Source organism: Homo sapiens, chromosome 1 (genome assembly GCF_000001405.40).
Source record: "Homo sapiens chromosome 1, GRCh38.p14 Primary Assembly".
Classification (NCBI taxonomy): domain Eukaryota; kingdom Metazoa; phylum Chordata; class Mammalia; order Primates; family Hominidae; genus Homo; species Homo sapiens.
Window position 1 is genome coordinate 160,115,250 of NC_000001.11, and position 23,201 is coordinate 160,138,450.

At 51.0% G+C, this 23,201-nt stretch overlaps 1 protein-coding gene across 2 annotated transcripts in view, besides 2 other annotated features; it reads left to right on the forward strand.

Moving 5' to 3' along the window:
• Nucleotides 1-784: an enhancer, noted in NCBI's record as "H3K4me1 hESC enhancer chr1:160085040-160085823 (GRCh37/hg19 assembly coordinates)". NCBI's record gives its function as "activates a minimal SCP1, AML or CMV promoter by ChIP-STARR-seq in naive H9 embryonic stem cells {active_cell/tissue: H9 hESC(naive)}" and the evidence as "EXISTENCE:reporter gene assay evidence [ECO:0000049][PMID:30033119]".
• The window catches only part of ATP1A2 (ATPase Na+/K+ transporting subunit alpha 2), a 27,833-nt gene continuing 5,141 nt past the window's right edge, over nucleotides 510-23,201 (forward strand). Inside the window, exons 1-20 of one of the 2 annotated variants that reach the window (NM_000702.4) lie at nucleotides 510-624; nucleotides 5,657-5,761; nucleotides 5,943-6,002; nucleotides 7,964-8,167; nucleotides 8,694-8,807; nucleotides 9,047-9,181; nucleotides 9,887-10,004; nucleotides 12,303-12,571; nucleotides 13,403-13,601; nucleotides 13,731-13,840; nucleotides 14,017-14,151; nucleotides 14,853-15,042; nucleotides 15,173-15,348; nucleotides 19,235-19,371; nucleotides 19,896-20,046; nucleotides 20,185-20,353; nucleotides 20,590-20,744; nucleotides 20,998-21,121; nucleotides 21,321-21,466; nucleotides 21,652-21,782. In NM_000702.4, the coding sequence (NP_000693.1) occupies nucleotides 613-624; nucleotides 5,657-5,761; nucleotides 5,943-6,002; nucleotides 7,964-8,167; nucleotides 8,694-8,807; nucleotides 9,047-9,181; nucleotides 9,887-10,004; nucleotides 12,303-12,571; nucleotides 13,403-13,601; nucleotides 13,731-13,840; nucleotides 14,017-14,151; nucleotides 14,853-15,042; nucleotides 15,173-15,348; nucleotides 19,235-19,371; nucleotides 19,896-20,046; nucleotides 20,185-20,353; nucleotides 20,590-20,744; nucleotides 20,998-21,121; nucleotides 21,321-21,466; nucleotides 21,652-21,782 (2,840 nt within the window). In that variant the 5' untranslated portion in view covers nucleotides 510-612. Of the gene's footprint in view, nucleotides 625-5,656; nucleotides 5,762-5,942; nucleotides 6,003-7,963; nucleotides 8,168-8,693; nucleotides 8,808-9,046; nucleotides 9,182-9,886; nucleotides 10,005-12,302; nucleotides 12,572-13,136; nucleotides 13,273-13,402; nucleotides 13,602-13,730; nucleotides 13,841-14,016; nucleotides 14,152-14,852; nucleotides 15,043-15,172; nucleotides 15,349-19,234; nucleotides 19,372-19,895; nucleotides 20,047-20,184; nucleotides 20,354-20,589; nucleotides 20,745-20,997; nucleotides 21,122-21,320; nucleotides 21,467-21,651; nucleotides 21,783-23,201 lie in introns of those variants that run through there. The other variant, XM_047421286.1, reaches the window with a different exon arrangement.
• Nucleotides 8,948-10,147: an enhancer, noted in NCBI's record as "CDK7 strongly-dependent group 2 enhancer chr1:160093987-160095186 (GRCh37/hg19 assembly coordinates)". NCBI's record gives its function as "activates an origin of replication core promoter dependent on BRD2, BRD4, P300/CBP, MED14 and CDK7 cofactors, with strong dependence on CDK7, by STARR-seq in HCT116 cells {active_cell/tissue: HCT116}" and the evidence as "EXISTENCE:reporter gene assay evidence [ECO:0000049][PMID:35650434]".

Consider the following 23,201-nt stretch of genomic DNA (forward strand, 5'->3'; position numbering starts at 1 on the left):
ATTTCTGGGCTTCAGTGTCCCTGCAACCTCTATAATAGAAGGAACAGAGTGGTCTATGTTTCTTTCTTTCTCTGGGAGATTGGATGTAGACTCGGGAGACCTGAGTTCTGGCTCTGTCTTATCAATTCAAATTGTTTAATCTCTCTGAGCCTCAGTTTACCCACTTGGAAAAGAAGAGTTAGGCCACATGGTCTCTGTCATCCTGGGATTCTGAGTCAACTGCTCCCCTTCAGCCAGATCCAAGGGGGCATATCCCCCCAACCTGGGACCCAGGCCCCCTTCCCTTGCAGCCTCTCTCAGTTGTGAGTGCCACAGGCCAGAGGGGGTTGAGAGGAGCCAAGGGGGGGCATGCCGTGGGACAAACGGGCTGTCTAGGGCCAGTGGCTAAAGGGGCGGGAGGGGAGGAGTCCTCAGGGATCCTGTTTCAACAAACGTTTCTTTCGGAGGAGGGGAAGGCGGGGGAGAGGGGGAGAAGGACCTATTTAAAGCTACCCTGTTGCTTTGGCTTTCTCTGTCTGCCAGGGTCTCCGACTGTCCCAGACGGGCTGGTGTGGGCTTGGGATCCTCCTGGTGACCTCTCCCGCTAAGGTCCCTCAGCCACTCTGCCCCAAGATGGGCCGTGGGGTGAGTATCCCTAAAGAGCAGGGGTCGCAGTCTAGAGGGTGAGGGAGGCTGCTGAGGAAGGATGAAGTGGGAATGGGATGTGGAAGGAGCGGGAGAGAGGAGCTGAGTGGGATACTTGGAACTTGAAACTAACAGTCTCCAAACTACCAATGTGTGTACAGATCCCACGGCGGTCACATACCCTAGTGCTCTCCTCTCCTCTGCACGCCCCAGCCCCCTGCCCACAGTTAGACCCACAGCCCACCACACATGCCCCCTCCATCTCTCCCTCCACCCCACTCCCACATCTCTAGTCCTTCCCTGCAGCAGTCCCTCCTCTCACTGCATCTCCCGGCCTCCCAGCTGAAAGGATGTTTGGCACTGTGAGTCCTCCTGTCTTTGCCACCTCCTGAAAATATCCATTCCTCTGGGAGTCCTAGCCTGAGAGGCTGGGGGTCCATTTTGAGGTTAGAGAGGGGCAGTAGAGCATCCGGCTCCCAGAGTCACCAAGTAGTTCCGGACACCAGCTCCAGGGGCCCTGAGTGCCAAGGACAGCTGGGCGGGGTGTGGGGAGGAAGAATGATGACCCAGCCCCCACCCCAGCACCCCTCCGGATGTCCCGAGCAGCATTGTCCGTGGGTTCCAAGCCATGGGCTTTGAGGACTTTCCCAGAGGCTGGTGACAGGTGACCCCCCCCCCAGTCCACCCGTCCATGGCATTCTGCAGCAATGGCTACACCAAGAGGAAGATTAACAACAATGGGGCGGGCAGGGAGAGGGCTTTGAATTCTTGGAAATGAAATTCCCATATGGAGAAGAGTGGCCCAATCCTTTTACATGCTGTGCCTGGCTGCTTTCCTTTTGTGGAATACTGGCAAAAGAGGACACAGAGGGAAAGGGCATGCTGCGGAACAGGAGGGTATGAGGAAGACTGTGCCTAGGGGGAGCCGTGGGTGTTTCTGGGCCCAGGAGGAGTCAGGCAAGGACATGTTATTGCACCTAGTTGAGCAGCTGGGAAATCCTGAGCCTGGACACCAGGGTTCCTGAGCTAGGGTTGGAGCCATAAATAGAATTGGAGTGCATGCATGTATCTGTGTGTCTGTGTCTGTGTGTGTGTGAGTGTGTGTCCTTGACCACGTGTTCTCCATAGGCGGGGAGTCCTGCAGTTACTCATGGATGAGTACCTGTGTTTGTGTCTCAGCAGGCAAATTTGTAAATGTACAAGCCTTCAAGCCTGCACAAGCATAAATGTCACTGTGTGGGGGTGCTTGAGAGTCTGTGAGCCTGCCCTTAGGAGCTGTGAGGTATGGGCTTCACGGAGGAAGAGGTCATAGCTGCAGGAAGATATACTGTCTTGGGACCTTCAGCTGCATCTTGACATCTCTGGCTCCCCATGGAAAGGGCATCCCTAGCTGAGATGCAGGACCTCTGAGAAGAGGCAGGGGTTAAAGGATCAGATAAGCCCTCCATTTCCCCCATCCAAGTGAAGAGAGAAGGAGGGGAGGTAGCCCCCTACCCTGCTCCATCTTAGAGCAAGGTAGACCCAGCTCAGGAGGTCTTGCTTGGGAAGTGATGAGACCTTGACTTTTCCAGTCTGTCTTTTTCCCCTAGCACCCCCAAACTCCCCTTAATCACCATCCTAAGTTGCTGTGGGTGATGCAATAGCAAGATGAGGAGCAGATCTGGGCTGTTTAAACTAAGAGGCTGGGTGAGGTGGGGGTATTTAGGGCCTGGAGCTTAGAGTTCAACCTACCAACGACCCCTGAAGAGGGAAGGCATCTGACACCCACAACCTGTTCTAGGGATGATTTTTCCTCCAATCCCTTCTCCCCTGCATCTCCACTGCAGAGGCAGGCTTCACTGTCCCCCCATTACCCAGTGGCTGTGAAGGGCAGCGTGGGAGTTGGGGGAAGGGACGACACTGGTGGGAGGGAGCCCAGCCTGCTCCAGCTACCACGGAGAGGCTGAGATGGGGGGAGCGTTGGCGGATTCCCAGCTGCCCCCACTCTGTCCCAGCCTCTGGCTTTCTCAAAAAGGACTCTCTGTTCTCCTTCAGCATTCAAGACCCAGAGAGGGGGACTTGTGGTTGGGGGAGGGAGGAGTGGAGGGAGGTTGGGGGGGTCCTTGCTTCCTCTCTTTCTTTCTTGCCTGGGCAGCCGCTGGCCCCAAATCTCTGCAGGCTCCTGGCTGCAGAGCCTGAGATCTTTGCCAGGACAGGAGGAGGGGGAAGGGGCAGTGTGTCTCAAGCTCTAAGCCTGCTGGAGAGCAGGGCGGGAGCTTGGGAAAAGGAGGCACTGCGTGGAGCTGCTTAGCTCAGCCACAATCCAGCATGCCAAAGTGCATGGACCAGCAAGTTTTTAAAAAGCATGCATTTTATTCCAATTTTTATGAAATTTATTTCACATCTGAATATACAGAAATTCCTCTGCACCCTGCTCTTCTGCCCACAGACCCAGCCCTGCTCCTCTGTGTATGCCTGGGCCCCCTTCTGTCCCTGAAGTTCCTGAGGGTCACACTGAAGCTCAGCCAGCCTGATCTCTTGCCTCTGTTCCCTTGATTGCATTTCTTCCTTTTCTCAGCTCTGTCCCACCACAGACAGTTAGTGAATGTAAAGCATTTCAATCCACTCAATTAAATGAATCCTCTTAGGTCACCTGAGAAAGGCAGAGGCAGAACCACTCACAAGCCTTTCCCCACCCCTTCCATTGGGCTGCTCGGTCTCCCCAAGAAGATCTGCCTTTAGGAGGCCAAAATTATACCAGATTCATAGATGCTTCAGGTGGAGACAAACCCACGATTTTACTGGTCACCTTTTCTGAGAAGAGCACTTCTGAGCAACACAGCCTCCAAAAGCTCATATCTTTTTAAATCATTGGTATCTTGGGAACAACAGTGTTGACTTCTCCTTGCATCCCCCACCCCTACCCTTGCTTCTGATTGTACTGGTCAGACTTCTACCTCTCAAGATGCTGAATTGGCGACCTCTTATGAACAAGGCAGCTGCCATACTTCTGGGATTGCTCCTGACTCTGATAAGTAAAAAAGGCATTACCCTGGAGCACAAAAGTCTTAGGGCAGTGAAGCTATTCCATATGATACCACAATGGCGGATACACGTCAGTATACATTTGCCCAAACCCATAGAATGTACACCAAGAGTGAACTCAAACTTAAACTATGGGCTTTGGACGATAAAGATGTATCAATGCAGGTTCATGATTGCAGCAAATGTAACACTCTGATGCAGGGTGTTGATAGTGGGTGAGGCTGTGCATGTGTGGGGGCAGGAGATATATGAGAACTTTCTCTACTTCCCACTCAATTTTGCTGTGAACCAGAAAATTGCTCCAAAAAAAGTATATTTTTTAAAATGCAAACAAAACCCCCAAAACTGCATTATCCTGCAAAAAAAAAAAAAAAAAAAAAAAAAAAGCAAACACCTTGGCTGTGGACCCTACCCAGGTATCCACTCTTTATGGGAAACAAAAGTTAACATCATAGTGTGGGAAAACTAATTCCTGAAAGCCTAGTGCAGACTTTGCAGAATCCAGTGGAGAAATAGGCACCAGGTGGAAACTGAGCAGCCCCTCTATGACAAGGACTCTATTTCCTGAGGGAAGTGGGAGGAGAGAAGACTGGGGCAGAAGAGGAAGTAAGAAGGTACCTTTTTGGGAACTTTTCATGGCTACCCAGGCCTTCCTCAGCCTCTATCCTATTCTATCACCCCAAGAGGGCCTCCTCTTAGAAGGAAAGATTTCCCACCCTGTCCCCAAGAAGTTCCCTGTGAGACCCTGGAAGGCTGGTAGTGGTGAGCCCACAGGCCCTGGAGTGGAAGGGAAATCAGGAGCCTCATAAGACTACAATTAAAATGTCCATCTGCTCAGGCGCAGTGGCTCACACCTATAATCCCAGCATTCTGGGAGGCCAAGGTGGGAGGATCACTTGAGCCCAGGCAATATAGTGAGACCTTATATCTAAAAAAAAAAAAAAAAAAGAAAGAAAGAAAGAAAATTGTTTTAAATTAGCTGAGCGTGGTGGTGCATGCTTGTGGCCCCAGCTACTTGAGAGGCTGAGGTGGGAGTATTGCTTGAGCCCTAGAAGCGGAGGGTGCAGTGAGCTGAAATTGCACACTGCATTCCATCCTGGGTGACAGAGTGAGACCCTGTCTCAAGAAAAAAAAAAAGGCCATCTGATTCACCAGATGACCCAGGAATGTCTAGACTTAAAAACTATATAAAATGTAGTTTTAGATTTACTCTCAGATACAATTTCTTATGTTTTGGGACAAATGGGGCTCAGTTCCCATGTTACCCAATTGTGCTTTGGGGGTCCAGTCCTGTGAGTTGCCTCCCGTCTAGTAACGGGCAGGCCTGCCCAGCAGGATGGAGAGGGCTCCCAGCACACCCCATGTCTCCACTTCCTGGACATGCCCTGACTCTCCAGCTACTGCCTCCTCTCAGTCCATCAGGCCTGCTCTTTCCATCCCTACCATTCCACCACCAGACCTGGCTCTCCTCTGGACACGTTCCTGCCTAATCCCCTGGCTCCCCAAAGACTCTTGCTCCCCCAAGTTCCTGAGTATTTCTACCCCTCTCTAAGTAAAATTGCCATGGTGTTGGGCTAAGACATTCCTACAGAGTGATTCTACTCCCTCAACAACCCCCCACAAAACCCTGTCCACTCCCTTCCAGAATTTTCCCAAATAGTGTAGGATACAGGTTTTCAAAATTTTTGTTTTGTTTTGTATTTAGCAGCAGGGTCCTTTCAACAAACAAAATCTTAGCAGAAGCCCAAGCATTAAACCACTCAAGTGGTGCTTTTCAGTCCTGAGCCCCTCACCCTTCTCTGAAACTCACATGGGAGCCCCTGGTTCTGCCAATAGTCTACAAACTGAGGGCCTAGGGTCCCTCACCCTCCATCCCCCCTATCTCCCCCAAGGCAGCCGCTGCTTTTGAACACACACCCCCACTGCCTGGGCTCCCTGGCTGAGTGGTGGGAATGGAGGCCCCAGCCCCTCTCTTCCCTGACTCTCTGGCTCTCCCTTCCTCCCTCAGGCTGGCCGTGAGTACTCACCTGCCGCCACCACGGCAGAGAATGGGGGCGGCAAGAAGAAACAGAAGGAGAAGGAACTGGATGAGCTGAAGAAGGAGGTGGCAATGGTGAGGGAACTGCTGGGCCATGGAGGAGGGGCCCCATGCTGGGAGAGCTGTCCCTGCAGCCCATTGCACTCAGAGAAACTCCGTGTCCCCCATGCTGCTCAACTCACCCCTGTGCCCTGCAGTACCCTCATATGCATCTTAGATACCTCCTCCCCAAAGTAACTCACCCTCCCTTCCCCAGGATGACCACAAGCTGTCCTTGGATGAGCTGGGCCGCAAATACCAAGTGGACCTGTCCAAGGTGAGTGGAGGGGCTTCTAGGGAAGGAACAAAAGAGGCAAGAAAACCATGCAGCATCAAGGTGGCAGGAGCCTTAAAACTGTAATCCAGCCTTCTTTACAGATGAGGAAACTGAGGCCCAGAAACAAGGACTGGCCCAAGGACATGCAGCTAGTTGGTGGCACAGCCAGAACTAGAATTTGGATCCCCTGCATCCTAGCCCAAAGCTCTCTCCCTGTATACCCTAGAAGCCAGGACTCCCTATGACCCAGGCCCCAGAGGGCCTCCAGGCAGGGCCCTTCCCTATACCCCAAGCAACTTCAGTTGCACACAGCCTTCCACAGAGCTGACAGCTGATGCACATGGGCTGACAGCCCATTCCTGTGGTTACAGTGATTTGCTGGGCCCCTGCTACATATGTGACATTGTGATAGATGCGTTACATACATTTCTCTAATCTTTACAACAACCCTTTGAGATAGGTATTGCAGACCTGTTTATTAAACAAAGGAGACTCAGAGAGGGAGAGTAACTTCCCAAGGTCACATGAACAGTAACTGGTACAGTCAATTGCTAAGCCCTTCAATTAAAAATTTGTTTAAAAATCATTAATCAAAAAATGCTGGGTGTGGTGGCTCATGCCTATAATTTTACCACTTTGGGAGGCCAAGGCAGGCAGATCACTTAAGGTCAGCGGTTTGAGAGCAGCCTGGGCAACATGGCAAAACCCCATCTCCACTAAAAATACAAAAATTAGCTTGGCACAGTGATGGGCACCTGTAATCCCACCTACTCGAGAGGCTGAAGCAGGAGAATGGCTTGAACCCAGGAGGCGGAGGTTTCAGTGAGCCGAGATCATACCACTGTACTCCAGACTGGGCGATAGAGTGAGACTCCATCTTGAAACAAGCAAACAAACAGACAAATATTTAGTGGGTGTATATCTCCTTTATGGGCCTTCCCTGACTGCTCTTTCTAAAATTCTATGCCCCTATTCCTTTACCTTACTTTATTTTCCTTAGTAACACTTTTCTATCTGGCACTAATATGTATTTGTTTATTGTGTGTCACCTCTCCAGATCATAAGCTCCTCAAGGGCAGGGACTTTGTTGGTCTTGTCCATCTCTGCATCCGCAGAGTGACAATTGTGCCTGGCACTGGATATACATTTATTAAATGAATGAATGAATGAAAAAAAAAAAAAAAGAAACGGTCCCTGCTTTAAAGGAGCTCAAAGTCTAGTAGCAGAAAAAATGCAATCCTAGGATTCCAATGCAATATGGTGAGTGCAGCTCTAGAATCAAGTATAGAACACCATGGGGAACCAGAAAGAAGCATCTGAACCAGCCTGGGGCTGAGGGAATAGGGCCAGGCAAGGCTTTCTGTGGAAAGTGACAGGTGATTGCCAAAGTTGTGTGACACTGACGGTCAATAATGTAGGACTTGAGCAGGGTGTGGAGGTGCCCACCTGTAGTCTCAGCTACTTGGGAGGCTGAGGTGGAAGGATTGCTTTAGCCCAGGGTTCAAGGATGCAGTGAGCTATAATTGCACCACTGCGCTCCAGCCTGGGCAACATAGCAAGAATCCATCTCTTAAAAAAAAATCTAGGACTCTCCTAGAATCCTTGATAAAATAATCTGAAGGAAGAGAGATGGGGAAAAAACAGTTGAGGTGTCTTTCCAGGGAGCTTATCCAGACTGCCTCCAGGGGAGATGTTATGGCCCTAACCATAGGTGTTGTCTCAATCCAATATAATTAGGGGTCAAGCCCAGTCAAACCCTTCTCAGCCCTCAAGCCCTCCAAGTTGCATCACAAATGCCACCTCCTCCATGTGGTCTCTCCTGATGGTCCCCCACCCCTTCCAACCAGGTGGGACTTTCCTTCTGGGCATTCTTCCCATGCCCGGGAGCTGAAGGGATGGGCATGGTGACTGGCTGGGTTGGCTCCGGATGCGTGCCCCTACGCCTCTCCTTGCTCCCTCAGGGCCTCACCAACCAGCGGGCTCAGGACGTTCTGGCTCGAGATGGGCCCAACGCCCTCACACCACCTCCCACAACCCCTGAGTGGGTCAAGTTCTGCCGTCAGCTTTTCGGGGGGTTCTCCATCCTGCTGTGGATTGGGGCTATCCTCTGCTTCCTGGCCTACGGCATCCAGGCTGCCATGGAGGATGAACCATCCAACGACAATGTGAGCCCACACGCCCGACCCGGGAACAGCCCGTGACTGTCCTCCAACCCTGAACCCCCAACACAGTGGGGGGTGGGCAGGGAACAAGGCCCTCACATAACAGTCCTACAGATGCCCCTGCATCTTAGGCTGGAAAGGGGAGAGGCTTCTATATATATCTGTAAAGTACTCCTCCGCCAACAGTGCATACACATTCACATACTCATTAATTAATGAAACAATCTCTCCCTGTTCCTCCCCGCTTAAGTGAGCCTGTCTGTGTGCCTGGGTCTTCATCCCCTAGCAAAGTCCTAACCCTGGGAACTTCCTAAGACTTTCCCTCCCATTTCTAGTCTTAACAGGCTTGAGGTTGGCAGATCAAGGGGGAGGTTAGTGAGAAGGGCTTTCCCCTACCATCATCACTCTCAGTCACAGACAAAGGTCTGGGCTGTCATCTTGGATGGCACTGCCTGCTCATCCCAAGTGGCAGCTGCCCCTTTAGGGTTGGGGGGAAGGTCAGGTCCCTGAAACTCTTTCTCCTTACCAGCTATATCTGGGTGTGGTGCTGGCAGCTGTGGTCATTGTCACTGGCTGCTTCTCCTACTACCAGGAGGCCAAGAGCTCCAAGATCATGGATTCCTTCAAGAACATGGTACCTCAGGTAAGATGGCAGGGCTGGGCTCTGGGCTAGGCTGTAAGGTTTTGGCAAGAGTCCAGCTCATCTTTTGTCAGCTCCCAGGCTCTAAGATAGAGATGGACAGAAAAGATCCTCCAGCTTTCCATGCCAGCACCTAATTGTTTATGGGGCTTCTCCTTCTGCTTGACGGTGTGGGAGACCAGCAGGAGAAGAAGGCAGGGGCAGAGACAAGCATTTCATGAGCTGCCTGTGGCTCCCCACAGCAAGCCCTTGTGATCCGGGAGGGAGAGAAGATGCAGATCAACGCAGAGGAAGTGGTGGTGGGAGACCTGGTGGAGGTGAAGGGTGGAGACCGCGTCCCTGCTGACCTCCGGATCATCTCTTCTCATGGCTGTAAGGTGAGGAGGTCATACCAGAGCAAGCAGTTGAGTCTAAGGAGAAGGCTGTGTGCAGAGCTGAGAGGGGCCCAGTGAGGTTTAAAGGTGGAGAGACCCAGGTCCAAATGTCAACACCATGCCTATGCCCCTGCTAAACCTTCTCTCAGTGTGGGGTGCTTGTGCAGTGCCTCCTTGCATCTGTGTGTTATGAATGCTCTATGCCCCAGGTATTTCTTTGTTGTCCACTTTTTAGCAATCATGTATTGAATACCAATTATGTGTCAGCTGCTTTATATATGTTCGATGTGCTATCTGATGTAATTCTGAAAGAGTGGTGTAATCATGCAGGGCTGCTGAATGTGGCCACACACGTTGCATCCTGAATGACCCCAGGAGGTGCATTTTCATAACTACAGTGTTAGTGTCTCCCCCTGTGGTTGTGCAAGGCAGAGATTCTGTTTACATTCACCATTTTACAGTTGAGTACATGGAGGCTCTCTTGGTTAAGCAAGTAACCCGAGGTCACATAAGAAGTCAGGAGGAGTCAGAATTCCAAACCAGGGCAGGGGCAATAGATGAGTAATGCCATAAATATGTGATGAGGGCAAGTGTGACTTTGTTCCTCGTGTCATGAAGATTGAGTGTGGTTGGAGGTGGTTCAGGAGACAGCTGTGTGCATACAAGTGGCTCTGCCAGTCTGATGACTATGCACTCCTTCCTCCTCAGGTGGATAACTCATCCTTAACAGGAGAGTCGGAGCCCCAGACCCGCTCCCCCGAGTTCACCCATGAGAACCCCCTGGAGACCCGCAATATCTGTTTCTTCTCCACCAACTGTGTTGAAGGTGAGAAGCCAGGCTGCCCCCTGTAGGAAAGAGTCTGAATCCTGAATCCATAGTCAGGATGAAGGGCTCTGGTAGTACTTACCTGGCAAAAGCTCTGCCATTGGTGGGGCAATTGAGGGGTCAGGGGGCCCTGAATATTATGGAAACACCCTCCACAGAGCAGGGTATTGACTGAGGGCAGCCTGACTCCATGGGAAATGTATCTCCCTTCCCCAGGGAGATCTCTGTTCTGTCCACCCCAAGACTGAGTGGATTTCAAAGCTTTCAGGTATTGGGTTAAGAACCCCTTACGCATGCGCACACACAGATGCACATACGCTCAGAACCAACCTGGATTCTTAGGAGTCTTTGGATTTGATTGATGCTTCTATTCCTTGTGGTTCTGGGCCTCGCTGCCCCCTTCGATAACCTTTGCTTTGGCCAGGGCCCCAGGGTCTGGGAGGGCCAAGAAGGCATTCTGGCCAGGTGAACACTTGGGGCCTACTTCAGGCTGCTTCTAACCTTTGTTACATCAAAAGACATGTTTCACCATGCACAGACTACCCAGTTTGCCCCATCCCTGTTCTGGGTTCTAGAGATAAACAAAGGTCAATAAGAACTCCCAGAGCTGCCATCACTTAATGGCAGGGGTCCAAGCACAACTGAAACCTGTGCCCTCTGTGGTAAAGCCAGTGAGCAGAGTCAGGGCTGCATCAGAGAAGGAGTAGGAGGGAAGAGACAGAAAGAGGCCTCACTAGACCAGTGGCCTCTGAAAATAGGGCAAAGGAGGCCTCATATCCCAATCCACACTTCCCCTGTCCATTACTCATTTCTCCTCAGTGTATTATGTTTCTCTGTGGTTTTTTTCCCTTCTTCGACAAGTTGGAATTCCACTGCTTGGAATCCATGAGGGATTGGTTCCAGGACCCCCTTCGTTACCAAAATCTAAGGATCCTCAAAGGCCCTGATATGAAATCGCATAATATTTGCATATAATCTGCGCACATCCTCCCATATACTTTGAATCAACTCTAGATTACTTATAATACCGAGTGCAATGTAATTTTTATACTGTTTTGTTTTTAAATTTGTATTATTTTTATTGTTGTATTGTTATTTTTATTTAGCTCCAAATATTTTCGATCTGAGGTTGGTTGAATCTATGGACATGGAATCTGTGAATATGGAGGGCCAACTGTACAAATAAAAATCACCACACATTACATTTCCTAAGTTTGTTTTTTGTTTTGCTTTTGAGACAAGATCTTGCTTTGTCACCCAGACTGGAGTGCAGTGGTGCAATCACAGCTCACTGCAGCCTTGACCTCCCAGGCTCAAGCGATCTCCCACCTCAGCCTCCAGAGTATTTGGGACTACAGGCGCGTGATACCACACCCAGCTAATATATATATATGTATATTAGAGATGGGGTCTCACTATGTTACCCAGGCTGGCCTCAAACTCCTGGGCTCAAGTGATCCTCCTGCCTCAGCCTCCCAAAGTGCTGGGATTACAGGCATGAGCCACCGAGCCTGGCCAAATTTCCTAAATTTTTAATGTACTGAGATTTTGAAATTTACATTTCCCACAATTGATTTATTCAGAAATGCCTAGTAATACATTCCTATTGCTTACTCTGCAATTGGCTTTGAAAAGAGGAAAGGAAATAAATGAGATATTTGTTGAGCACCCGCTATGTTCCAGGCACTGGCCTAAGTATATTAAAGCACAATCTCATCTAAATATTAAAACAGCACCGAGATAGGAATTCAAATAAGGATTCAAACCCAAATTTGGCTGGCTCCAATGTGCATGCTTTTTTCAATACACCACCCTTCCTTCCCAGAAGACCCCTGTAATGTCACACAAGGGTTAGCAATTGCCTGGCTTCCTCTATAGAGATTCATGCCTAATGTTGAGAAAGAAAATCTTAAGACTGGATGGAAAATCCATAATGAGTGCTTTACTTTGTGTTCATAATATACTTTTGGATGGTATCAAGTATGGGAATGATTTTACCAAAATGCCACAGGCAATTTTTATTTATTGAATCTTGTCTATTTGAACTTTGAGATTATTTGCAAGCTTCTCCCCAGGCTCGAGTACAAGAGAAAATAATTTGCTGTTGTATTGATTCAAGGATTGGCGATCTATCCAGGGAAAGGAAGGCCAAGTGGGGACAACCTACTGAATGTGGCCTCCAGATCTGCGGCTTTGGCTCACCTATCCTGTGATGATTTTCCTTGCTCAGGAAATAGGATGGGACTGCAGTCCCTGGGAGCCACAAGGCACCCAACCTGATGCCCCACCATGTTGCAGGCACTGCCAGGGGCATTGTGATTGCCACAGGAGACCGGACGGTGATGGGCCGCATAGCTACTCTCGCCTCAGGCCTGGAGGTTGGGCGGACACCCATAGCAATGGAGATTGAACACTTCATCCAGCTGATCACAGGGGTCGCTGTATTCCTGGGGGTCTCCTTCTTCGTGCTCTCCCTCATCCTGGGCTACAGCTGGCTGGAGGCAGTCATCTTCCTCATCGGCATCATAGTGGCCAACGTGCCTGAGGGGCTTCTGGCCACTGTCACTGTGAGTGGGTCAGGCTGAGGTGCCACCAGGGGAGGGTCTCACTACTCTTTCCTCAGAGTGATAGAGGCACAGTTGCTTGTAGCTTCTCACTACTTTTTCCCCCTAGAGTCACTTATTGGATGCGATACTCAGAGATCACTTAATACATGGCTTAGGGTATGAGTTGAGAAATCTCAGGTGGGGCTATTCTTAGGCACTCAGTTTCTCTTTTGGAGCTTGTCACGGCTGCCTTTTCTCACGATCTGCCAGCAGTCTGGGTCTCATTCCGTCCAAGTCTCCTGTAGAGGCTGTCTCAAAGGTCACCAGTCACTAACTAGCAAATCCAGGGACCTTTTCTCAGCTCTCCTCCCTAACTCTGCTGCTGAAACAGATACTGCTGTCCACCCTCCTACCATTCTCTCTTTTGTCGATTGCTGTGATGTGTCACTATCCTGGTTCGCCTCTCCTCTGTCCCTTCCTGCTCCCCCTACACTGATTCTCAGGCCTCAGCTGTCTGTTCTTCCTACACCCTGAGCAAGAGCCAATCTCCTCCCAGTTTGCAGTGTCCCTTCTGTGTTGATGACTCAGACATCCCTATGCTCAGCTCTGCTCTGGCCCTCTCTGGAGCTCTAGTCAAACGTCTTAAACCCCCTAATGGGCATTTCATCTTAACAGATACTCATGATCTCAACACATCTAAAATTGAACATTCATTATTTACAGCTAAGTCCCACCCATTCAAGTTAGTGGAGTAGAATCAGGGGAGGAGGAATGGAGCCACGGTCTAGGGTAAGGTTATGGCCATCTCCGGCTTCAGCCTTAACCTTTTTTATTCTCCTCTTTCTCTACCAGGTGTGCCTGACCCTGACAGCCAAGCGCATGGCACGGAAGAACTGCCTGGTGAAGAACCTGGAGGCGGTGGAGACGCTGGGCTCCACGTCCACCATCTGCTCGGACAAGACGGGCACCCTCACCCAGAACCGCATGACCGTCGCCCACATGTGGTTCGACAACCAAATCCATGAGGCTGACACCACCGAAGATCAGTCTGGTGATTGGGTGCTCCAGAGGGGGTGGATAGGATTAGAGGAGGCTGAGGGCAGTGGCGTGGTGGGGTGAGTGGTTGAGATAAAGGCTCTAAAGGGAGCCACGCTCCTGGTTCCCCCTCATTTCCTCCCAGGGGCCACTTTTGACAAACGATCCCCTACGTGGACGGCCCTGTCTCGAATTGCTGGTCTCTGCAACCGCGCCGTCTTCAAGGCAGGACAGGAGAACATCTCCGTGTCTAAGGTAGGGGGTCAGGACACACACCAGGTATGTTTTGGGGGTGTCTCCAAAGCCTCTTGCTGGCCCCAGCTTTCCTTCTCACATGATGTGGCTGCCTTGGGGGTTTCAGTGCCGCCTTCACCTGATCCTCCACTCCCTTCCCTCCCATGCTGACACTGAATTCTTGTCTCTTCTGGCAGCGGGACACAGCTGGTGATGCCTCTGAGTCAGCTCTGCTCAAGTGCATTGAGCTCTCCTGTGGCTCAGTGAGGAAAATGAGAGACAGAAACCCCAAGGTGGCAGAGATTCCTTTCAACTCTACCAACAAGTACCAGGTCTGCTTGGGTTGCCAGGACAGAGGAAGAGAGAGGGATATAAATGGGTGAGGGTGGACAAAGCCAAGGGGAATCATCACTAGCAGGAGTGGGGGTGTCTGAGGGTCATGTTCCCTCCCCCTGCTAAGTCCCCCAGGACAGCTCATATGACTGCATGTCTGATTGCAACTAGCCCCAGCTCCCAAACCTTACTCCATCCCTTACTACAATCTGTCACTCTCTCAACTCTTCTTCCCATAGCTCCGCATCCTCTGGCCTAGCCTTCCAACTCTTCTACCCCAGTCAGTGAAACCATAATTCTGTAATTCCTTTATGGTGCCCCTTAGCCTTTAGGCACCTGTTAAATGCCAAGAATGCAATCTCAGCATTCCTTATTATCCATAGAGGTAAAGCCCCCTGAGGCCAGGTGGTGGTGGGGATGCTGAGGAGGGAGCCGTTCAGCCCCTAGCACAGTGCCTGTCTTAACCTGACCTCAATAAATATTTGTTGAATGAAAGACTGTCCTACGGAGGTGGCTCTCAGGTTACAAGTGTTGGAACTGTGAGGTCTAAACACCCCCCTGCACAAGGAGATTCTCTTTGTTGACAATCTTTGATGGGTTGGGGCTACTTTTCTAAGGTGGTTTCCTTACCAGCTGCTGCTCTATGCCGCGCTACCAAGACAAGTATGGCCCTCTCTGTAACTACCTGTTGTCTCTCCAGCTGTCTATCCACGAGCGAGAAGACAGCCCCCAGAGCCACGTGCTGGTGATGAAGGGGGCCCCAGAGCGCATTCTGGACCGGTGCTCCACCATCCTGGTGCAGGGCAAGGAGATCCCGCTCGACAAGGAGATGCAAGATGCCTTTCAAAATGCCTACATGGAGCTGGGGGGACTTGGGGAGCGTGTGCTGGGTGAGAGGCCAGAAACAGGAGGCTCAGAAGGGGATTCCCAAGCCTCTGCGGCATCCCTGGGGTGGGGGACTGTGGGGGCGTCCAGGAAGCCACTCTGCGGATCTCACTGATCCCTTCTGCCCCCCTTTAGGATTCTGTCAACTGAATCTGCCATCTGGAAAGTTTCCTCGGGGCTTCAAATTCGACACGGATGAGCTGAACTTTCCCACGGAGAAGCTTTGCTTTGTGGGGCTCATGTCTATGATTGACCCTCCCCGGGCTGCTGTGCCAGATGCTGTGGGCAAGTGCCGAAGCGCAGGCATCAAGGTACTGGCCTCCCATCCTCCCCTCCATTCTAGCCTCCCCCATGCCAGAGTTCAAGGAGCTGCAGTGGCTGCTGCCCTGGAAAGGCCCAGGCCACGGTGGCCTCCTTCCCACTGACTCAGAGAAGAAGCTGTCCATCTGCAAGGAAAGGCCCACCCCTGCCTTGGGGCACTCACCCTTATCCCTTTTGCTCAGAGAGGCCAGTGTCCCATGCCCCTCCTCTCCCTCCCTGGCACAGCTCTTTGTCCCATCTGCATGTGTACCCTTCCATTCTGATTTGAAGCATAATCTGGCACTCCTATCTTGAAGACCTAGTTGTCCTACCCTTCCCAACTACTGCCCACCCTCTCTGTCAACTTAGGATGGGATTAGCAGGCTCTTGTATGCTCCCAGTGGCTCAGCCCATAACCCCACAGAATGCCTCCCACTCAAGGTTCTCTTGTTCAACTACAATTGCTTCTCACTGACCACTCCCTCCTCTGTGCTATGTTTGTTCTTCATTCAACAAATATTTACTGTTTACTATGTTTCAGACACTGTGCAAGGTGCAAACTCTAGCACCTTGCACAGTGCCTGATACATAGTAAACAATTTGTGTCACATGACACATCTAGATGGGACAATGAGCTGTGCCAGGGAGGACACATATAAATCAGGCACTATTCTAAGCACTAAACCTCTATGATTTCATTTAATCTACGCAACAACCCTGTGAATAAGCACCAGTATTTTTCCTTTTTTACAAAGAGGGAAACTGAGGCACAAAGTAACATGCCAAGGCCACACAGCTAGTGTAAGTCATAGAGCAGGTACTTGAACCAAGGCAGTCTGCTATTTCTTAACTATCATACCAGGAGACTTGTTTCTGTGGGTGTATGTGGTTTCTGAACCCCATAACCACTCTGTCTCCGAGGCAGGCATCATTATCCCTGTTAAAAGTAAAACAAGGCTGGGCACAGTGGCTCATGCCTGTAATCCCAGCACTTTGGGGGGGTCCAAGGCTGGTGGATCACCTGAGATAAGGAGTCCAAGACCAGCCTGGCCAACATGGTGAAACCCCGTCTCTACTGAAAAAAAAATACAAAAATTAGCCACGTGTAGTGGCAGGTGCCTGTAATCCCAGCTCCTTGGGAGGCTGAGGCAGGAGAATCACTTGAACCCGGGAGGCAGAGGTTGCAGTGAGCCGAGATTAGGCCACTGCACTCCAGCCTAGGCGACAAGAGCAAGACTCCATCTCAAAAAAAAAAAAAAAGTAAAACAAATGGAAACTGCAAGTGGGTAAGTCTTTTCCCCAAAATAAAACCACCAGTAAGTGATGGACTGGGACTATGAAGCATGATCTGCTTGACCGGAAAGCCTGAGCTCCTGCTGCTTGGCCAGGTGCCTCTCTCTGTGATCAGAACCATCACGGAGGCCTGGGCAGAGGACCTCTATGGGAAGTCAGCTCAGGGAAGCATTAATTCTGCCTCAGAGAACTGGACGATGTTTGACAAAAGGAATGATATTTGAGCTGGGCTTTGGAGGTCAAAGAGTATTCTGCAAAGCAGTGAGGGAGAGGAAGGCATGTCAAGATCAGGGAACAGTGTGTACCCTGGCGTGGCTAGACTGTACGGAGCGTGTGTAGGGGTTGGCAGGGGAGAGGTGGCAAGGAGTACTGGGGGTTGAGACTGGAACACTGGGTCAGAGCCAGTTGGAAGGACTTGGCTTAAATGCCAGACTTGGGCTTTATCCTGCAGGCCACAGAGAGCCATCAGTGTCACGGGGGAGGTTGAGCTTTTAGGAGACTACCTGGTTTGAGGAGGGACTGGATTTGGGGAAGAACTGGAGTCAGGGAGAGACAGGTTAAGAGGCCATTGCCATAGTTCAGGCAAAGAATGATGACCTGAACTAGGGCAGAAACAAAGGGAATGGAGAGGAATAGCCATGTCTGAGAAATGTTTTGAGAACTTGGTGACCAAACTGGATATGGAAGGTGAGGAAGATACAGGAGAGAAGGGGACAGGATGAATAGAGAGGACAACATCTAAGGTAGGGAGCAGTAGCAGGCTTGGTGGGGTGGCAGGAGTAGAGAAAAGGAGTTCAATGTTGACCTTAAGCTTAAAGAGTCTATAAGATACCCCAGGAAAGACAGATGTTCCAGTGAACATTGGAGTATGGTTTAGAGCTCATGAAAGATGGTCAGGACTGGAGATTTGAATCTCATTAGCACAAGGGTGCAAACTAAAGGCTTATAGTATGTTGTATTATATTGCCCAGAAAGAGCAGACAGGTCAAGTGAAGGGAGGAGAATGAAATCCTGTGCCAAACCAACATTTAGGCACAAGAGGAACCAGTGAGGAGGGGAGAGGGTGGTAGGAACCAATGCCATTTAATCTTCATGACCACCTAGAAAGGCAGGAATCATCTCTGCATTGTGCTGAGACCTCAGTGCTTCACTTGCCTAAGGTGCTGTAGCTGGAGAAGGTCGGTGTTTAAACTTGAGCCCCTCATTCAACTCCAAAGCCACTGCTTCTTCCATCCTACTAGGCTGCCACCCTGAGAGGCTGGGAAAGAGCATGCAGAGGAGTGGAGGGAAAACAGGAATGGAGGAGTATGTGGAAGCCAGGGGAGGGCAGGGTTTCAAGGAGAAGAGGTCAACGGTGCCAAATGCCTCAGAGGGGTCAAGTAGGATGAGGACGGCAAAGACACTTTTCATTTTTCAATTGAGAGGCCCCTGTGGCCTTTGGGTGGCAGTTTCAGTGAAGTGGTGGGAGTGGAAGATAAGGCAGTGGGGACCATGGAGGCTTCCTTTTCAGTATCCATAGGACTTGCCCTGCAAGCCCACACATGCAAATGCTATCCTAACCCAACTCTGCTCACCTCATAGCCTCTTAGCCCATCAGATGCCAGCCACCCTCCCCATCCCAACTCCATTCACTCTGCAACAATAGCAATGAACATTATGGTGAAGGTAGGGACCACCGTGCTCACCAGGGAGGATGTCAGAGGCAGATGCTCAAGGTGGTGGAGGCAGGGGTGTTGTCTCCATCTTATTCCTGTTCTGTCCATTACATTGCTGCAGTGATCAATATTTGACACTAAGAACCTCATGTCCTATATCCAGGTCCCTGTGCATTTGAGCAAATTGTAGCCCCTCTCTAAGCCTTGGTTTCCTCATGTGTAAAATAAAGGAGTTGTTAAAGGGTCCTTCCAGCTCTGACTGCCTTGAATCCCATGAAATCCAAAATCCTAAAATATCTCCTAAATAATCCTAAAGATTTGAGGCTTCTCTTCCAGGGGATCCTCATGAACTTGTTACTCTGTTATGGATACTTTCCTGCACTTAAGCAAACTATCTCTCTCTAACCCTCTGAACATAACTCAACTTGCCATTATCTTTCCTCCTCACCCACCCACTCAAATTCACACAGACACACACAAATCCCCACCTCACATACACACACATCCCACACACACACATAGACACACACAATCCCCACCCCCCACACACACATCTCACACACACGCACACATACACAAATCCCCACCCCACATACACACACACACACATACCCCACACACACACACACATCCCACACACACACATTCCCTCTCACACACACACACAATCCCCACCCCCTCACACACACACAATCCCCACCCACACACACACACACACATCCTACACACACATACACACACCCCACACACACACACATACACACACACACATACACCCCACCCCAGCCACTCCCCTGCCCACAGACGCACACACACATGCCCTTATTTCGGTTGGGATCTGCCATCCCCAGACATCTCGCTATCTAGCTTTCTCTTACTTTGGGAGAGGAACAGGAGGGGGATAAACCCTTAATACTACTTTCCTGTTGTCTCCTCTCCTTCCCACTAGGTGATCATGGTAACCGGGGATCACCCTATCACAGCCAAGGCCATTGCCAAAGGCGTGGGCATCATATCAGAGGGTAACGAGACTGTGGAGGACATTGCAGCCCGGCTCAACATTCCCATGAGTCAAGTCAACCCCAGGTGAGGCCTCTGCAGGAAGCCCCTGTGCCCTAATCAACACGTCCTCTTGCACAGAAGGCTTGGGTGTCCCCTGGGAGTATTTGGATAGCATTTCTGGGACCTTTATAGGCCTTACCTCTGACACTATTGTGACTGGTTCCTCAGCCCTGAGCTTGTATCCAGGCTGTGCCACTGAATACCCATGTAACCTTGGAGATGTCACATTCCCTTCCTGAGCCTCCATTTTCTCACCACAAAATTAGGATGCCATCTCCACTGCTGTAGGAGTGGGATGTGAGTAAAGAAACTAGCCCAGGGCCTAGCAAACTGCACTTACAACTGCGATGATCCCATGGTGAGGATTTAGACTCACATTCTCAAAGAGAAATGGGGGAAGTGAGTACTGAGGAGAGGAGAACTGAAGCAACAGGGGAAGCAGGCTCAGCAGGGAGCCTGCAGGCTGCGGTGGTGAAGAGAGGCAGGGGGCAGGAGGGGCTGGTACAGGTGCCAGGGGTCAGCTGTCTCTGTCCCCACCCACCCTCCAGAGAAGCCAAGGCATGCGTGGTGCACGGCTCTGACCTGAAGGACATGACATCGGAGCAGCTCGATGAGATCCTCAAGAACCACACAGAGATCGTCTTTGCTCGAACGTCTCCCCAGCAGAAGCTCATCATTGTGGAGGGATGTCAGAGGCAGGTGAGCACAGCCACGGGAGGCAGATGACAGGCAGGGACCGGGGAGGCAGGGACAGGGCCAAGACAAGCATGGAGTGAGAGGCGAGGAGCCAGGCTTGGGAAGGGGTTTCGTCCTCAAGTGTGGCCGTCTTCCCTCCAGGGAGCCATTGTGGCCGTGACGGGTGACGGGGTGAACGACTCCCCTGCATTGAAGAAGGCTGACATTGGCATTGCCATGGGCATCTCTGGCTCTGACGTCTCTAAGCAGGCAGCCGACATGATCCTGCTGGATGACAACTTTGCCTCCATCGTCACGGGGGTGGAGGAGGGTGAGGAGGCTGCATGGGTTGGGATGGTTTGCAGGATACTGAAGCCGGCACCTCTGTTCCCTGTCCCTTTACCCCAGTTGAAGAATCATTCCACAACTCTAGGCAGCCCAGCCCACTTTAGCTTCCCTTGAACACAAAATCTTCCTCTCTTGGGAAGACAGGCAGCCATGCTTCAGGGGCTGGGGGTGGGGAAGAGTCCCTCTGACCTCCCTGATGCCCTCAGAATCTCCCCACAGGCCGCCTGATCTTTGACAACTTGAAGAAATCCATCGCCTACACCCTGACCAGCAACATCCCCGAGATCACCCCCTTCCTGCTGTTCATCATTGCCAACATCCCCCTACCTCTGGGCACTGTGACCATCCTTTGCATTGACCTGGGCACAGATATGGTGAGCGCAGGAGGTGGAGGAGGGGACAGGCAAGGCAATCGTGATGGCACAGTGGCAGGGAGGAGAGGTGCACTGGGGCAGTGGCCCCAGCTGTGGGGGTTACAGGAGACAGGCACAGGCCTGGAAGACAATGGGGTCTGAATACACGCTTTTTTAACTGTGTCAACGATCGTCACTGTCGAAGATCAATTGCTTCTGTCATCTCCTACGTCCCTTCAAATGCCCTCCCTGCCCCATTTCCTACCCCACACAGGTCCCTGCCATCTCCTTGGCCTATGAGGCAGCTGAGAGTGATATCATGAAGCGGCAGCCACGAAACTCCCAGACGGACAAGCTGGTGAATGAGAGGCTCATCAGCATGGCCTACGGACAGATCGGTGCGCCAAGCCCCGGGCCTCGGGAGGGAACCCCAACAGGGTTCTTTTCCCAGCTTTCAGAGGAATGAGCCCCAAGCAAAATTCCAGGACAGAGGCCAGCTACCCAAGGGTCAGGGACCTCCATCTCTGGCCCTGAGGGGCTGTGCCCCTTCTGCTTCCTGCTCTGACCCTGCCCCTGCCTTTGGCCCTCTACCCACAGGGATGATCCAGGCACTGGGTGGCTTCTTCACCTACTTTGTGATCCTGGCAGAGAACGGTTTCCTGCCATCACGGCTACTGGGAATCCGCCTCGACTGGGATGACCGGACCATGAATGATCTGGAGGACAGCTATGGACAGGAGTGGGTGAGTGGTGCTGTGTAAACACAGCGCACATGTGTGAAGGTACGGGAAGCTGAATGCCTGGCAGGAGTGGCCAGTGGTGGCCAACTGGGACTGGGGCTAGGGGTGGATCAGGAGAAACCATGCTACCTTCTGGTCCTACCCTTTCCTCCGACACTCTCATCTGTCTCTGCCCACCCTCCCTCCAGACCTATGAGCAGCGGAAGGTGGTGGAGTTCACGTGCCACACGGCATTCTTTGCCAGCATCGTGGTGGTGCAGTGGGCTGACCTCATCATCTGCAAGACCCGCCGCAACTCAGTCTTCCAGCAGGGCATGAAGTGAGTGCCCACCCCCATGGCACCTACCCACCCAGGCTCTGGGCACACTCACCAACCCACACAGGCCAAGCTTCCAACTCAGCCCTGGACCAGAGCTGTAAGGAGGGCATCAGATTTTAATCTTCCATCTGTATATCCATAGATAGGTTTCATATAGAAGAGAGAAGCCATGCTTCAGGCTCCTAATTTTGCATTTTGTTATTGTCTCTCTCCACCTTTCTTCTCTCCTTCTCTCCCTCCCTTCTTTCCCCCATCTCCTACTTGAGTGCCACCTGCTCCTATCCTTTGCCCAGCCCTAAATCCAGTGTCTTCTGTGCCCACCCCTCCCCTGGCCTTCCGCAGGCAGTCTAGTTTATAGCACTTGCACTGTGGTTCTGGAGGCCACGTGCTGCCGAGGGTCGGGTTCAGCGCTTCTTGCAGTGTGAGTTCCAGCGTGCCAGGCACTGTGCTAAGTGCCTAACACATTGTTTAGCCCCACGATAGCTCTATGAGGTGGGTATTACTGTTTACATTTCATGGATAAGAGGCCCCAAACAGGTTAAATGATGTGCCCAAGGTCACCAAGATGGTAAGGGTTCACCAGATCTGTCTCTAAAACCCAGCCCTGGCTACTACCCAACATTTCTGTGCTCACACCATCTGGCACTGTTTGGAACTCAGTAATGACTGTGATTCTATTATGGGTGGTGGTTGAGCGCTGAAGGTTTCATGCTGGTTCCTTTTATTTTCTCCTACCATAAACAATGGCCACAATTCCTCACATGAGGTTGTTACAGTTTCTTAGTTTGGGGCTGGGGAGGGTGGGGAGAAGATGCCAAAGTGAAGTTAATAACACTTAAGATCCAAGGGAGAATAAAGTGAAAAGCCTGTTAGATAAATAAAGGTAACATGAAGGAAGGAGATTCCAGTAAGCTAAAAATACTAATGGAAAAAAAATGCAATTTGAAGAGAACAAGGAGCAGAGAGTCTAAGAAATTGGGTATAATTCTGGGGCCTGGGACTTGCTATGCACTGCAGGGATGACACACGAAGGTGGGAACATGGCCATAGTGGCTGCATCCAGCCCATCTTAGAGGCAAATGGGAAAAATGGCAAATGAAAATCAGGCTGGGTACAGAGGAAGAGTACTAATACCACCACAGGCCTCACCTTAGGTCCCTGGGCCACTGGGGATCCTCAGAGATGCTATTTGCCTTATTTTGAAAAGCTTTATGAAAATAAAGCACTCACCTATGCGAAGGCAACCAGGCTTACTAATGTGTCATTCTTAGGCAAAAGCCAAGAGCGCATATCATGACGTGGTGATCGGATGCTGATTCACAGTTCTGTCTGGAAGCCATGGATAGTTCTAATTAATTTTAAATGGGGAAATGTATTCAATACTTATTCACAAATGTAGCTTGAGAGACAAACAATTAA